At 42.4% G+C, this 17,047-nt stretch overlaps 1 annotated feature.

Annotated features, from left to right (window-relative positions):
- Positions 7,800–7,849: an enhancer, noted in NCBI's record as "active region_9169". NCBI's record gives its function as "activates an Ori minimal core promoter by ATAC-STARR-seq in GM12878 lymphoblastoid cells {active_cell/tissue: GM12878}" and the evidence as "EXISTENCE:reporter gene assay evidence [ECO:0000049][PMID:35858748]".

Raw genomic sequence — 17,047 nt, forward strand, 5'->3', positions numbered from 1 at the left:
TGTCATGAACCCAAGAGGCAGAGCTTGCAGTGAGCCAAGATCGTGCCACTGCACTCCAGCCTGGGTGACAGAGCAAGACTCCATCTCAAAAAAAAAAAAAAAAAAAAAAACAGACAAAGAAGGCCATCTTATAATGATAAATGGTTCAATTCAACAATAAATTTAACTATCCTAAATATGAATGCACCCGGCTGGGTGCAGTGACTCATGCCTGTAATCCCAGCACTTTTAGAGGCCAAGGCAGGTAGATCACTTGAGGTCAGGAGTTCAAGACCAGCCTGGCCAACATGGTGAAACCTCATCTCTACTAAAAATACAAAAATTAGTTGGGCGTGATTGTGTGCACCTGTAGTCCCATCTACTTGGGAGGCCTGAGGCAGGAGAATTGCTTGAACCTGGGAGGCGGAGGTTGCAGTTAGCTGAGATCACCCCACTGTACTCCAGCCTGGGCTACAGAGCGAGACTCTGTCTCAAAAAAAAAAAAAAAAAAATTGCACCCAACATCAGAGCAGTCAAATTTATAAAACAAATACTACTAGACCTAAGAAAGGGGATAGACGGTCATGCAATAGTAGTGGAGGACTGTAACACACCACTGACAGCAGTAGACAGATCATTGAGGCAAAAAACTAACAAAGAAATTCTGGACTTAAATTGGGCTCCTGACCAAATGGACTTAATAGACATCTACAGAATACTACACTCAATAACCACAGAATGCACATTTTTCTCATTTGCACGTGGAACATTCTCTAAAATTGACCACATGCTGAGTCATAAAGCAAATCTCAATAAATTAAAAACAACCAAAATCATGTCAAGCATCTTCTCAGACCACAGTGGTATAAAATTGGAAATCAATAAGAGGAACTCTCGGCTGGGTGTGGTGGCTCACACCTGTAATCCCAGCACTTTGGGAGGCCGAGGCAGGCGGATCACCTGAGGTCGGGAGTTTGAAACCAGTCTGACCAAGCTGGAGAAATCCGTCTCTATGAAAAATCCAAACATTAGCCAGGCATGGTGGTGCATGCCTGTAATCCCAGCTACCTGGAAGGCTGAGACAGGAGAATCACTGGAACCCGGGAGGCGGAGATTGTGGTGAGCTGAGATCGCGCCATTGCACTCCAGCCTGGGCAACAAGAGCGAAACTCCGTCTGAAAAACAAACAAACAAAAAAAGGAACTCTCAGACCACTCAAGTACATGGAAACTAAACAACTTGCTTCTGAATAACTTTTGGGTAAACAAAAAAATTAAGGCAGAAATTTTATACAGAAATTAATTCAAGATGGATTAAAGACTTAAATGTCAGACCTAAAACCATAAAAACCCCAGAAGAAAACCTAGGCAATACCATTCAGGACATAGGCATGGGCAAGGACTTCATGGCTAAAACACCAAAAGCAATGGCAACAAAAGCCAAAATAGACAAATGGGATCTAGTTAAGCTAAAGAGCTTCTGCACAGCAAAAGAAACTACCATCAGAGTGAACAGGCAACCTACAGAATGGGAGAAAATTTTTGCAATCTACCCATCTGACAAAGGGCTAATATCCAGAATCTACAAAGAACTTAAACAAATTTACAAGAAAAAATCAAACTACCCCATCAAAAAGTGGGCAAAGGAGATGAACAGACACTTCTCAAAAGAAGACATTTATGCAGCCAACAGACACATGAAAAAATGCTCATCATCACTGGCCATCAGAGAAATGCAAATCAAAACCACAATGAGATACCATCTCATGCCAGTTAGAATGGCGATCATTAAAAAGTCAGGAAACAACAGGTGCTGGAGAGGATGTGAAGAAATAGGAACACTTTTACACTGTTGGAGGGACCGTAAACTACTTCAACCATTGTGGAAGACAGTGTGGCGATTCCTCAAGGATCTAGAACTAGAAATACCATTTGACCCAGCCATCCCATTACTGGGTATATACCCAAAGGATTATAAATCATGCTGCTATAAAGACACATGCACATATATGTTTATTGTGGCACTATTCACGATAGCAAAGACTTGGAACCAACCCAAATGTCCATCAATGATAGACTGGATTAAGCAAATGTGGCACATACACACCATGGAATACTATGCAGCCATAAAAAAGGATGAGTTCATGTCCTTTGTAGGGACATGGATGAAGCTGGAAACCATTCTGAGCAAACTGTCACAAGGACAGAAAACCAAACACCGCATGCTCTCACTCATAGGTGGGAATTGAATAATGAGAACACGTGGACACAGGAAGGGGAACATCACACACCAGGGCCTGTTGTGGGGTGGGGGTAGGGGGTAGGGATAGCATTAGGAGATATACCTAATGTAAATGATGAGTTAATGGGTGTAGCACACCAACATAGCACATGTATACATATGTAACAAACCTACACATTGTACACATGTACCCTAGAACTTAATGTATAATAATAATTTAAAAAAAAGAAAAAAGTTTGAAGTAAGTGAAAAGAGAGACACAACATACCTCTGGGATTCTCTGGGATACAGTGAAAGCAGTGTTAAGAGGAAAGTTTATGGTGCTAAATCCCTACATCAAAAAGATATAAATGTCCAAATTAACAACCTAATGCCACACCTAAAAGAACTAGAAAAACAAGAATAAACCAAACCCAAAGGTAGCAGAAGAAATGAAAAAACAAAGATCATAACAGAACTAAATGAAAGTAAGACAAAAAAATAAAAAAGATCCTCAAAGACTACTATGAACATCTCTTTGCACACCAACTAGAAAATCTAGAGGAAATGTGTAAATTTCTGGAAACACATAACCTCACACTGAACCAGGAAGAAACTTGAAATCCTGAACAGACCAAAAACAAGGTATAAAATTGAATCAGAGTCCAGGCACAGTGGCTCACCCCTGTAATCCCAGCACTTTGGGAGTCCGAGGTAGGAGGATTACTTGAGTTCAGGAGTTTGAGACCATCCTGGGCAACATGTGAAACTCCATCTCTACAAAAAATGCAAAAATTAGCCAGGCATGGTGATGCACACCTGCGGTCCCAGCTACTTGGGAGGCTGACTGAGGTGGGAGGATTGCTTGAGCCCAGGAGGTTGAGGCTGCAGTGAGCCAAGATTGTGTCACTGCTCTCCAGCCTGGGTAACAGAGTAAGACCCTGTCTCAAAAAAAGACGAAAGAGAGAGAGAGAGAGAGAGAGAGAGAGAGAGAGAGAGAGAGAGAGAGAGAGAGAAAGGGAGGGAGATTGAATCAGTAATAAAAAAAAAATCTACTAGTCAAAAAAAAAAAAGCCCTGGACAGATGGATTCACAGCCACATTCTATCAGACACAGAAAGAAAAGCTGGTACCAATTTACTGAAATTATTCCAAAAAATCAAGGAGGAGGAATTCCTCCCTAACTCATTCTATGAAAGTAGTATCATCCTGATCCCAAAATCTAGCAAAGACACGATGTAAAATGGAACTACAGGTCAATATCCTTGATGAACATAGATGCAAAAATCCTCAAAATAATAACAGCAAACTGAATCCAGCAGCATATCAACAAGTTAATATACCATAATCACGCAGGCTTTATTGCTGGAACACAAATCTGGTTCAACATATACAAACCAGTAAATGTGATTCACCACATATACAGAGTTAAGACAAAAACCATATGATCATCTCAATAGATATAGGAAAAGCTTTTGATAAAATTCAACTTCCCTTCATGATAAAAAGCCTCAAGACACTAGGTATTGAAATAACATACCTCAAAATAATAAGAGCCATCTTTGACAAACTCACAATCAACAAAAATGAACAGTGGAGAAAGAACACTTTATTCAATAAATAGTGCTGGGAAAACTGACTAGCCATATGCAGAAGAATAAAACTGGACCCCTACCTATATGGTGAGCATATACAAAAATTAACCCAAATGGACTAAAGACTTAAATGTAAGACCTCAAACTATAAAAATCCTAGAAGAAATCTGAAAAAAACTCTTCTGGACATTGGCCTAGGCAAAGAATTTATGACTAAGACCTCAAAGGCAAATGCAACAAAAACAATAAATGGGCAAATGGGATTTAGTTACAATAAAGATCTTCTGCACAGCAAATAAACTATCAACAGAGTAAACAGACAACCTACAGAATGGGAGAAAATACTTGCAAACTATACATCTAACAAAAGACTAATATCCGGAATCTGTAAGAAACTTAAATCAAAAAGCAAAAACCAATCCCGTTAAAAAGTGGGTAAAGGACATGAACAGACACTTCTCAAAAAGTGTCCAACAAACATACAAAAAAATGTTCAACATAGCTAATCATCAGAGAAATACAAAATAAAACCACAGTGAGATACCTACCATCTCACACCAGTCAGAGTGACTATTATTGAAAAGTCAAAAAACTAACACATGTTGGTGAGAATGCAGAGAAAAGAGAACACTTGTACACTGTTGGTGGGAATGTAAATTAGTTCAACCCCCATGGAAAACAGTGTGGAGATTTCTCAAAGAACTAAGAATAGAACTACCATTTGACTCAGTAATCCCACTACTGGGTATCTTCACAAAGGAAAATAAATCATTTTATCAAAAAAGATGCCTGCATGCATATGTTTATCAGGGCACTGTTCACAATAGCAAAGTCATGGAATCAACCTAAGTGTCCATCAATGGTGGATTGGATAAAGAAAATTTGGTATATATATACACACATATACACACACCATGAAATACTATGCAGCCATTAAAAATAATGAATTCTGGGCTGGGCACGGTGGGTCAGCCTGTAATTCCAGCACTATGGGAGGCTGAGGTGGGCAGATGACCTGAGTTCAGGAGTTCGAGACCAGCCTGGGCAACATGGCAAAACCCTGTCTCTACTAAAAATACAAAAAATTAGCCAGGCAAGGTGGTCAACACCTGTAATACCAGCTACTTGGGAGGCTGAGGCAGGAGAATCACTTAAATGCGGTAGGTGGAGGTTACAGTGAGCCGAGATCTTGCCACTGTATTTCAGCCTGGGTGACAGAACAAGACTCCGTCTCAAAAAGAAAAAAAAAAAAAAAAAAAAGAACGAATTCTGGCTAAGCATGGGGGCTCATACCTATAATCCAAGCACTTCGGGAGGTCAAATCGGGAGAATTGCTTGAGCCTGGAAGTTCAAGACCAGCCTGGGTAACATGGTGAAACCTCACCTCTACTAAAACAACAACAACAAACAAACAACAACAACAACAAAATAGGCATTCATCTGTAGTCCCAGCTACTTGGGAAGCTAAGGTGGGAGGATCACTTGAGCATAGGAGTTGGAGATTGCAGTGAGCTATGATGGCACCACGGCACTCCAGCCTGAACAACAGGGGGATACCCTATCTCAAGGGGCGGGGAGGGCGGGGGGAAGGAATGAATTCATGTTCTTTGCAGCAACATGGATGTAGCTGAGTCCATGAAGTCCACTATCCTAAGTGGAATAACGTAGAAACAGAAAATCAAACGCCGCATTCTTAAGTGGGAGCTCAACAATGGGTACACATGGACATAAAGATGAAAACAATAGATGCTGGAGACTCCAAAAGGAGTGAGGGAGCAAGTGGGGCGATAGTTAAAAAAAACTACCTATTGTGTACCATATTCACTATTTGGATGATGGTTTCAACAGAAGCCTAAACCCCACCATTGTACAATATTCCCATGAAACATACCTGGACATGTACCCTGTGAACCTACAATAAATACAATTTTTAAAATAATTTGTGTGTGTGTGTGTGTGTGTGTGTGTGCGTGTGTGTGTGTGTTTGAAGCAGAGTCTCACTCTGTCACCCAGGCTGGAGCACAGTGGTATCATCTTGGCTCACTGCAAACTCTGCCTGCTGGGTTCAAATGATTCTCCTGTCTCAGCCTCCTGAGTAGCTGGGATTACAGGCGTCAGCCACCACACCCAGATAATTTTTGTAATTTTAGTAGAGACAGGGTTTCACCATGTTAGCCAGGCTGGTCTCAAACTCCTGACCTCAGGTGATCTGCCCATCTCGGCCTCCCAAAGTGCTGGGATTATAGGCGTGAGCCACTGCGCCTGGCTGAAAGAATTTGATATTTGATTTTCCTACCGTGCAATATAAGTCATCACATGGAAAAATGGATTTCATTTATTTTATAGTTTTTAAATGAGAAATGGCATGTGTTATGTTTGTTGATGACATATCATAGTTTAATTAGCAGTCATTTTTCTTAGTGGCACATATAATGTTGCATTTTATACTTAGTGGCATTTTAGCTTCTAGAAACACACTTTTTTTTTTTTTTTTTTTGAGACGGAGTCTCACTTTGTTGCCCAGGCTGGAATGCAGTGGTATGATCTCAGCTCACTGTAACCTCCAACTCCCAGGTTCAAGTGATTCTCCTGCCTCAGTCTCCTGAGTAGCTGGGACTACAGGCACACGCCACCACGCCTGGCTAATTTTTGTATTTTTTGGTAGAGACGGGGTTTCACCATATTGGCCAGGCTTGTCTCGAACTCCTGACCTCAAGTGATCTACCCACCTCAGCCTCCCAAAGTGCTGGGATTACAGGTGTGAGCCACTGCACCTGGCCAGGAAAACAATTCTTAACTCTGAGTCTCTGGCTCTTCCTCCATGAAATGAGGGTAATGAAGGGACCTGGGGAATAGGGTCATTGCAAAGATTAAGTAAGATAATGTGTGTAAGATATTTAGCAGCTTCTCAAGGCTGTCTGCCTTTCTTGGTCCATGGCCAAGAGGCTGGCTTCTTTCTTCAAAGCCAGCACTTGTATCACTCAAATCTCTGCTTCTGTTGTCATACCTTCTTAAACTCCGATTCTCCTTTCCCCTTTGTGATCACACTGGGCTCACCTGGAAAATTCAAGGGACTCTCACCATCTTAAAATCATTAATCACCTCTGCAGAGGCCCACAGGAGGGAACATATTCACATGTTCTGGATTCTATGTTGTCACATTTGCAATGGACTGAATGTGTTCCCTCTAAAATTCCTATGTTAAGACTCTAATCTCACTGTGATGGTATTTGTGTGTGGGGCTTTGGGGAGGTAATTAGTTCATGAAGGCAGAGCCCTTGAGGATTAGTGCCCTTATAAGAACAGGCCAGAGAGCCAGCCAGCTCTTTCCTCTGTGTGAGGATACAAGTTAGCAGCCTGCAACCCAGAAGAGGGCTCTCACCTTAACTCAACCCTGCTGGCACCCTGATCTTGTATTTCCAATCTCCAGAACCGTGAAAAATAAATATTTGATAGTTTATGGTATTTTATTATGGCTGCCTGGGCTGACAACATCTTTGGGGGGGCTGTTATTCAGCCTACCATGTCGGGAAAGGGGCAATTTGTAGCTTTACCCTGATTTCTATATTCTCTCCACGTAGTGGGAAGAACCCAATATATTAAAGAGACTGTTATAATCAATGTAAGGTAGGTAGGAGCAAATACAGACCCAGTTGGAATTCAAGGCTGAAGATGCCAAAGCAGCTACAAATATGAAAAAATAATCAGGAAGGGTGGCTTCATATTAAGGTCCACTTTTTCTTCCTACATAGAAGGAATTTTCCCAATTTGGAAATAACTCTCCCCAGTTCTCTCTTGTCTTTATATAAGGAGTCTGGAGGTTACCAAAAGTGCTTTCAGAGCAGTGGTTTGCAGCCTTGGCTGTACATTGGAATTAAGGCAGGAGAAAAGGGAATTAGGGTAACCAAAGATTAAGGCATAAGCAAAAGAACAGCAGGTGCAGGCAGTTCTAGCCAAGATTGGGCAGCATACAAGCCACATCCTCCTTCCTGTGATAACAAGACAGAAGTTTCCACTTCAGACTCTGATTGGCCTCAGGTCAATTTTTCATAGACTGCCACCAGTTGGAGGCCTCTAGAGGGCACCTAGGGGTATTGCCAAGTTCTTTTGGCTTTATAAATACCCTGGGGAGCATTGCAATAGGGAGGCTCTTGAGCCACTTGCTCAAGTCTGCTCCCACTCTGTTAATCGTACTTTTGCATCTTCAATAAATTTATGCCTTTATTACTCTACTCTTTTATTTTGTCTTTTGTTGCTTCTTTTGTTGCTTTGTTTGTGCATTTTGTTCAATTCTTTGTTCAATACGCCAAGAACCTGGAAAACTCACAGTCAAGACGTTCTATCTAGTGATGGAATCACCTGGAGGAGCTTTTCAAAGATACCAATACCCCTAAATAAAATCAAGATATCTGGAGTTGGGGCCCAGGCATGAATATTTTAAACTGTCCCTGGGTGATTCTGATGTGTTACTAGGGTTGAGAATCAGCTATAAAGGAAGTAACAGGATTCCTCTTCCGGAGGCCCACAAAATTTTCTCTCTCTCTCTCTTGCAAATACTTCACTTTGTTCTGAGTATTTCTGGGAATCAATGGTTTTGAAGGTTTAAACATTTAGAAGGTTTACCCTTGGGGAGCCCTCAGGACTATCTTGTACTTTCTCTTCTTCCGCAGTCGTGTCAATACCTAATCCACTGGAGACCAAAGTTTATTGATTCTTTTAAACTCTTTCTTGCATACCAGATATAAGTGGATAATAAATAAAGTTTCTTGAACAACTAGTAATCAAGTAAGCTGCTGTAAGACTTTCTCTGCTGGGATAATGAACTCCAAATAATCGAAGGATCAATTTACCTCTAGCCTCTCCCCCAGGCAATTAAGATATTTAAAGCCTGAGGGCACATTTTAATTTCCGTCTTTTACCTTTCCTCAGTTAGAAGGCCCTTCCTCCTCCATCTCCATGAGTTGAAATCATATCTCTTGGTCAATTCCTGTATCAAATGACACCTCTCCCATTAGCTCCTTTTTGTTCATCTTTTTCCTTTGAGCCTTTTTGTATTATCTTGATGACACTTCCCTCATGCTTCTTTGCATTTGTTAGTACTTTCCTTTTTCCTTGTGAATAGAATATAAACTCTTTTGAAGTAGGATTATATAATAAAATATACAATCCTCTCATGCCTATTTTTCCTAGCAAAGTAATGCAGGTGAAGGGACATAAAAATTCCTAATGGACATTTTCTCTTTTAAGATTGATCACTGGTGATCTTCCCAGTAGGATAAAACCTTGGGGAGAAGATGAGTTTTCCATTACATGAGAAGTCACTGGAAGACTATATTTCAGGCCCATTGTTGACTTATAAATTCTCTAGATTAGAAATACTCAGACCATGCCTGGAGAGACAGGTGAATCTTTCAGCATCCAAACCTTAGATTCATCTCTTATTTCCAGACTACAGTACTGACTGTGGACTGTGTAGGGTGTAAACTGTCAGGGGGTTTTGTTTAAAGTTGACTGTAAATGTAGTTCCAGGTTTAGCTGACCTGGAAGGTAGGAAATCTCCTAACCACCTACATTTTCAGCAGAGAAATTCTAGCAAAGGCAAGGATTCATATCCAGGAAATCTATTTCCTTGCCCATCAGACTCTCTTAGACTTTCCCCATCCACCACACGGCCCTAGCCCTCGCCCTCGCCCCATCTTTCCACCCCTGAACTCCTAAGAACTGCTGAAAGACACTGCTATAGCTCTCTCCACTCTTCTGTGTCTGCTCAGTGGGGCTGATAAATTCAGGATCTGAAAATCCTTAAGTTAGATTCAGACTTCACCAATCTACTGAAAAACCCTCCAAAAGAAAAATAAATCCCAACCTCCAAGCAGGGGATCACCCTATTTACACTACTGGAAAATCATCCCTCTGCTGGCTAAGGATAGATGACCCCACACTGGGGCAGATTTGCCAGCTGAGAGCCATGGGATAGCAGCCTGGAAAGGAAGGCTTTTACAGCCCAAGAAAATGGAGAAGGACCTGCCTGTTCATGGGCCCTGCCACAGAGCTGGAAGCTCTTGAGTTTGGAGACCACAGACCCTTCAGGATTCAAACTCATTGAACCCCAAGAGGGGATATCTTCATCTGTTTGGCCTGCTATATAACAAAGTATCATAGACTGGGCAGCTTATAAACAACAGAAATTAATTTCTCATAGTTCTGGAGGTTGGAAAGTCCAAGACCAAGGTACCAGAAGATTTGATTTCTGATTTTCCTGCTTTCTGGTTCATGGATGACCATTTTCTTGCTTTGTACTCACATGGCAGAAGGAGCAAGGGAGCTCCCTGAGGTCCCTTTTGTAATGGCACTAATCCTTCTGCCCCCATCACCCAATTACCTCCCAAAGGCCCCACCTCCAGATACCATCACATTGGGGATTTTAATCTCAGCATGTGAATTTTGGGGAGACACAAACATTCAGTTTATTCAGGGGGCAACTGATGGTCTTTTAAGCTGACACTCACACACAAAGGGTGATGACCTTAGTGTAAAGACAAGGATTTCAAAGGAGCTGATGAAAACCTAACCAGTAAATATGTATGTTGTGTGGGATAAAGATCAACCATGAACATTTCAAATGGGCCTTACAAGAGAGCAACCTGCAGGGAATAATGTCACCCCTGGAGTGGGTTGGGATTCCCCAAGTCCAGTTATTTTATACTAAAAATTATTGCCTGAGAAGGTCATGGTTATGTGTGAGAAATAAAGCCTTACATGCCTACCCCGACAGCCAACTCAGACAAGGCTGCTCTTGGTGGAGTCATCTTTCAAAGGATTACTTTAGCTTCCTGGTTAGCCCTGAATTCAATGCCCTCACTCTTCTTCAGTTGACGGCTGGGCGCAGTGGCTCATGCCTGTAATCCCAGCACTTTTGGAGGCTGAGGCGGGCAGATCACTTGAGGTGAGGAGTTAGAGACCAGCCTGGCCAACATGTTGAAATGCCGTCTCCACTAAAAAAAAAAAAAAGCTAGCTGTGGTAGTGGCACATCCATGTAATCCCACCTGCTAAGGAGGCTGAGGCAGGAGAATTGCTTGAACCCAGAAGGTGGAGGTTGTAGTGAGCCAAGATTGCATCACCGCTGTCCAGCATAGGTGACAGAGCAAGACTGTCTCCAAAAAATAAAAAAGACAATGGCCTAATAATTCCTTTAAGTCCCCCCGATCCCCTATGGAACCCAGCCCTTCCATTTTTTACTCATACTAAGGTATAAATGGCCTGTGATGCTTTAATAAAGCATTTATCCAAAGCTTTTTAAAATCTTTAATGGGAATTATTAAACTAGAAGAATAATTGGGCTCCAAAGTAAAATTTACGACAATGAATAGAAGGATTTTGGGTCCCTATACTATCTTTGAACAAATTACAGAGGAGACAGGAAAATAAGTGATGGAAAATAACTGACTACACTTACTGATTCAATGGTTCTGAGTAGTAGGTTAATACTGCTGACTTCAAAGGTCTTTATTACACCTGAGTACGAAAGGCAAATGTTCTGGGGGAGGCCAGAGGTGGCCCATGAGTCCTGTCTCTGCTGCTTACCAGATTGATAATTTTAGGCTACTCTCCTAACTGTGAAATGGAGATCGTATGACCTATCTAACACAATGTCTGCAATACAGTAGATGACCAAGAAGTGTGGGCATCAATAGTTCTGGGCCCCTACTAAGTCAGCATTTATACCTCAGAGAAGCTTCAGAGTTACCTCTAACCTTGATATTGAGAGCTGGGATCTGCCACAAAATGAAGAGGTTTTGAGGGCATGATTCCTTACTCATTCTTAAACTGCTCTTCCCCACCCCCCCCCCCCCACCCCTTCACTGCACTGCATTCATGCGTTGCAGTGTCTGGTACATAGTAGAAACTCCATAAATATTTACTAAACTAAGCCTTTATATGGAAGGTCTTAACTCACTCTTTTTTTCGGGGGGCAGGGGGGATGGAGTCTCATTCTGTTGCCCAGGCTGGAGTGCAGTGGCATGATTGATCTTGGCTCACTGCAACCTCTGCCTCCTGGTTCAAGCGATTCTCCTGCCTCAGCCTCCCAAGTAGCTGGGATTATAGGCATGCACCACCATCCTGGCTAATTTTTGTACTTTTAGTAGAGACAGGGTTTCACCATGTTGGCCAGGCTGGTCTTGAACTCCTGGCCTCAAGTGATCCACCTGCCTTGGTCTCCCAAAGTGCTGGGATTACAGGCGTGAGCCACCACGCACGGCCTTAACTCATTCTTAAGAAACACTACTGCTGAGACTCTTGACAAGAAAAAGTGGCATAAGCAATTCCAGGCTTCCAGAGGAATCCTCTGGGAAAGAGGCTAAGATTGCTGGGAAGGCTGAAACCTGGGGGTCTTAGAGAACATTAGGAAGAGGTTGGTTCTTACTCACCCAAGGACCTAAATGAACTGGTTCATAGAATCAATGTCAGCATGAATGATTTTAGAAATCACCTGGAAGTCAACCCCAGGCCCAGAGAGGGTATATGGCTTGTATAAAATCAAATAAATAACAAAATTGCTAAAACTAGAGTCTAAGGCTTGACTCCTGTTCAGTGCTTTTTTCCAGACAACACTGGAACTTGCCAAGAGATATTGAGTGGAATTTTTTAAAAAGGTACTTTGGAATAAGAAGTGAAAGGGATAGGCCAATTCCTAGAGCAAAGGCTATAATGTTGACAGATAAGAGTCCTATTTCACATCAGCCTTCTCTGTTAAGGAAATTGATCTCCAGCATGATAAAAAGGATAGTCCAAAACAGTTAACAGGTAATTACGTTTTAAGATAGGTAATAAGATAGAGAAGCCTAATTCATTTAATTGAATTTGAGCCTTCACACCCAAAGAAATTCCATTTCAGAATACTGAAAGAATTGCCCTGTTGTAACACTCTCCCTGGGGGAGAGTATTATATTATTAACTACTTTAAGGGAAGAGTTAACTAGCTGCCTGAGGTCAACAATTAGTACAAGGCCAAAGGAGATGTCACAGCCAAGCCTCTCTGCATCCAAACTTGAGCAATTTCCACTCTACCAGGTCACTAAGTGAGCTGATGAATTCCTTCATAGAATCTGGGTTTTGAAGCATTGCAACAAAATAAAATGAAGCACCCAAACCAACAAAATGAAATTTAACTCAGCAAGTGGAAAGTCCTGTGCGTAGCATAGTTTTAAAAATCTTTACAAATACAAAACAGAGGAGATGTAGAGTAAGAAGAATTTATGTTCAAAAGGGTTAGGAATCTTGGTGGACTCCAAGCCCATATCTTTGTGTGAAACAGCTGCCAAAATCGCTAGCAAAATCTTAGAAAGCATTAATAAAGGCATAATGTTCAGAATAAAAGGAGAATAGGGCTACCGTACTTCACCAGGCAGACATCATCTATAGTACTGTATTCCGTTTAGCTCTGTAGGGTTCCAGGGAAGGATAAATAAGATAACACACAATCTAAAAGTTATGCCATATGAACTGAAAGGACTTGGGAATGTTCATTTTGGAGAACAGAAGGCTGTTCAATTTTAGTGACTAAAATATGAAGGAGGCAGTCATTTTTCTGTGTCACTTTATAAAATAACACTAAGATTAATTAGTAGATAAAAGCAAAGGAAAAGAAAGCTTGTGTTGGTTGAATAGCACTACATGCTGCTTGTGCTACGTGCTTTATATTATTTTGTTAAAACCTTTCAGAAACAGATGGATAGTTTGGGAGTGGTGAGCTCCCTGTGACTGGAAATCAGATCCCTAGCTCAGCACTGCTCAGTTAAAGCAGTGGCGGCCAGGCGTGGTGGCTCACGACTGTAATCCCAGTAGTTTGGGAGGCTGAGGTGGGAGGATCATTTAAGGCCAGGAGTTCAAGACCTGCCTGGGCAGCAGGAAGACCCGTCTCTACAAAAAACAGAAAGAATTAGCTGGGCATGGTGGCACGTGCCTGTGGTCCCAGTTACTCGGGAGGCTGAGGCAAGAGAATCGCTTGAACCCTCGGCGGGTGGAGGTTGCATTGAGCTGAGATCACGCCACTGCATTCCAGCCTGGGCAACAGAGTGAGACTCCATCTCAAAAATAAATAAAATAAAATAAAATAAAATAGAGACAGGTTTCCGTTACGTTGCCCAGACTGGTCTCAAACTCCTGGGCTTAAGCAATCTTCCCAGCACAGGGGGCTGAGGTGGGAGCATTGCTTGGGCCTGGGAGGTTGAGGATGCAGTGAGCTGTGGTCACGCCACTATACTTTAGCCTGGGTGACAGAGCAAGGCTTTGTCTCAAAAAAAAAAAATTATTATTTTTTAAAGAAGCAGCCATCACTCTTCTGCTTCCAAGATTTAAGAATGCCATTCAGGCCCTTCTGAAGCCAGCTTCCTATTGGAGGCAGGCTCTCTGGGGGCAGCAAAAGCAACTGTGTGTCAGCAACATGAATTTCTAGCAGTTTCAAGGTTTCAAATCCCCACTAGATGGCTGACTGTAAGGGGCTACCTAGTCCATATTAGCCCAAGCTGCTGCTTTCTAGCCAGGTTTAGACGTTGGGATAGGCCCATGTTTGTCTAGGGTTGTGTCTGCAGGGAGGGCTAGGTGGTAGAGGAGAGCCTGAGTGTTCTACGAGTTGATGAGGAATTGTGTGACGGGATGGGAATGGGATACTTCTCTAGGCCAGCCACAGCCATTCTTCTCACATAGACCTGTAGTCTTAGAGTCACCCAACCACTGAAGCCCTGTGGCCTAGGACACGTTCTGGCCAGTGGACAATGTATCAGCCAGGGTCCTGTCCTAGCAGAACCAGAATTCAACTTGGAGGATTCCGATGAAGAGACTTTAATGAAGGGACCATTACAGAAGTGTGAGCAGGGAATCTGCAAAGGAACCTCAGCATCACGGGCACCCTCCAACCTCAAGACCATGTCTTTGCTGTCTCTTCATCTACCACCGGCTGAATCCTTCATCTCATTCTGGTCTTTGTTATAATGCCACTCTCTCAATGAACATTGTGACTGCTTCTCCTCAGCACTCCCTCTTCCCCGCTGAACTTTGTTATATCACTTAACATCATCCAATATTTGCATATTTAATTATGTGTTTATTGTCTGCCTCTATCCACTAGAATGTGAGCAGAGATTTTTGTCTGTTGTGTTCATTGCTATATCCCAGCACTTAGAACACTGCCTAGCCCAAGGAAGATGCTCAGTAAGTATTCGTTGAATGAATGAATTAATAGATGAATGAAGACTAATTGGACTTATTAGAACACATAGAGAAAATTATCCAATGGTGACATCCGATCCCTCTTTCTTGCTTCAATTTGTTAATCACTCCTTTGGGTGAAGCCACTTGAAATGCAAAAGGCTTTCAGTTGGCCACGAGAGGGTGATATTGGCCAGTTTTTCATTTTATAGATACCTTGTTCTGAGATCATTCACTCTCTTCTTCCCCAGACCTCAGAAAGAAAACCTGAGACAGGGCCATGTCTACAGCCAAAGTAAACATACAGTGTGTTTCTTCTGCCCGGATGCTGTCCAAGTGAAATTCAATTAAAACCTACATCAATAAAGGTTTCTAAAGGAGAGAAGGTCACTAGAAAGTAAGAGTGTAGGGAATGTGTAGGCAGAAGAAACAGGCAAAGAAAGGCATCTCCACCACTTTGGTAACCATGGAGATGCCACCAGCCGGCTAGATGACCTCGGGTTTTGTGCCACATTCTTCTACTTCCCTTCCCTCTGCACCATCCAGGCTCCGTGTGGCTGTCCCTGCAAAAGTGTGAGCTTTCACAATACAGGGTCTAGGCTCACGGTTCCAATTGTGACCCTCCAAGTGCTCAGGGAAAGAAATACAGATTACTCAAGGAATCATTCCCTCTTTTGCTAAATCCTACTTTGTGAACATACTGTGTGAAGGGAACATGTGGGATGATACAGAAATAAAGGGGCCATCAGCCCCAAGGTCAAGGCACCCAGTGATGACACTGTGAGGCAGAAGTGGACAGGGCAGTATGGGATGCCCAGAGAAGGTTTCAGGAGCTTCTGGAAGGCAAAAGAGGCTGTCTTCAGTGAGAAGGGGGCAGAGGCAGCCATATGGGAGTGAGGACATTTGAACTGGGATTGAAGGATAGGTAGGTACACATTTGTGTTTGGCTGTATCTCAAGCACTTTCTGGTTTTATACGCTGCTTTTAATTGCACCTGAATTTTAGGATACTTTTCTTCTCATTTAAGAATGAGTAACCACCCGTTTAAATGAAAAAGATCAGTTTTTTTCCACATCTTAATCTTATAAGACATAGCATGATATAAAATAAAATAAGCTTGTAGGGGAGATAATGTGTTGTTAAAACAGTAGAAGAGGAAAAGCTTTCTATCCACCCCAGTGGTTCCTAATTTAAGTGCCCTTATGTACACCACAAAGAGACTGGAGAATCTAACAAATGAACACATTATTATTATTATTACTATTATCATTATTATTATTATTATTATTATTATTGAGACGTCTCACTCTGTCACCCAGGCTGGAGTGCAGTGGCGCAATCTCGGCTCACTGCAACCTCTGCCTCCCCAGTTCAAGCAATACTCCCTCCTCAGCCTCCCGAGTAGCTGGGATTACAGGTGCGTGCCACCACACCCAGGTAGGGTAAGTATACGATGGTTTAAGTTTTTAAAAATATAGAGCAGAGAATGGAAGTCCTGAGGGGAGTTTTTGTTATCTCGCCTTAAGTGCAGCTTTTCTCAACAGCAAAAGGTGGAACTTGTGAATACCTAGTGAGGGGTCCCAGGACTCACAGACTAAATTCACAGACCAACACTGTGGACTCTCGTCAAACATATTCTTTATTTGAAAGAGAGACATTCCAGAGGGAAAGCAGGGAAAGAATGAAATGAAAAACTCAGATGTCAAGTAGCGGCTCTGAGTCAAAGGCTTCCACATCCTTCCTGGCCATCCCCAACATGGGGCCACAGCCACGGTCACCTCCACTCAGGTGTGGGGTGATGCCCCCAGGTCACCCCAGACTAGTGTGGTAGTGCTTCTTCCACTGCTAGAGTGAGGAAGGGATGTGAGACCTTCCTCAGACTCTCCAAGGTGCCCCTGCTCAGCACCAGGGGCAGGACATCCACGAGAAGATCTGGGTTTATGTACTGCAGGTGGAAAATCACATAAGCCAGCAACCTAATAAAGACTAAGACCATGAAGGTGAGATACTGGAAATACCTGCAAAGAGATGTTCATTATTTGCAT

Source organism: Homo sapiens, chromosome 15, assembly GCF_000001405.40.
Source record: "Homo sapiens chromosome 15, GRCh38.p14 Primary Assembly".
In the NCBI taxonomy this organism is placed as follows: domain Eukaryota; kingdom Metazoa; phylum Chordata; class Mammalia; order Primates; family Hominidae; genus Homo; species Homo sapiens.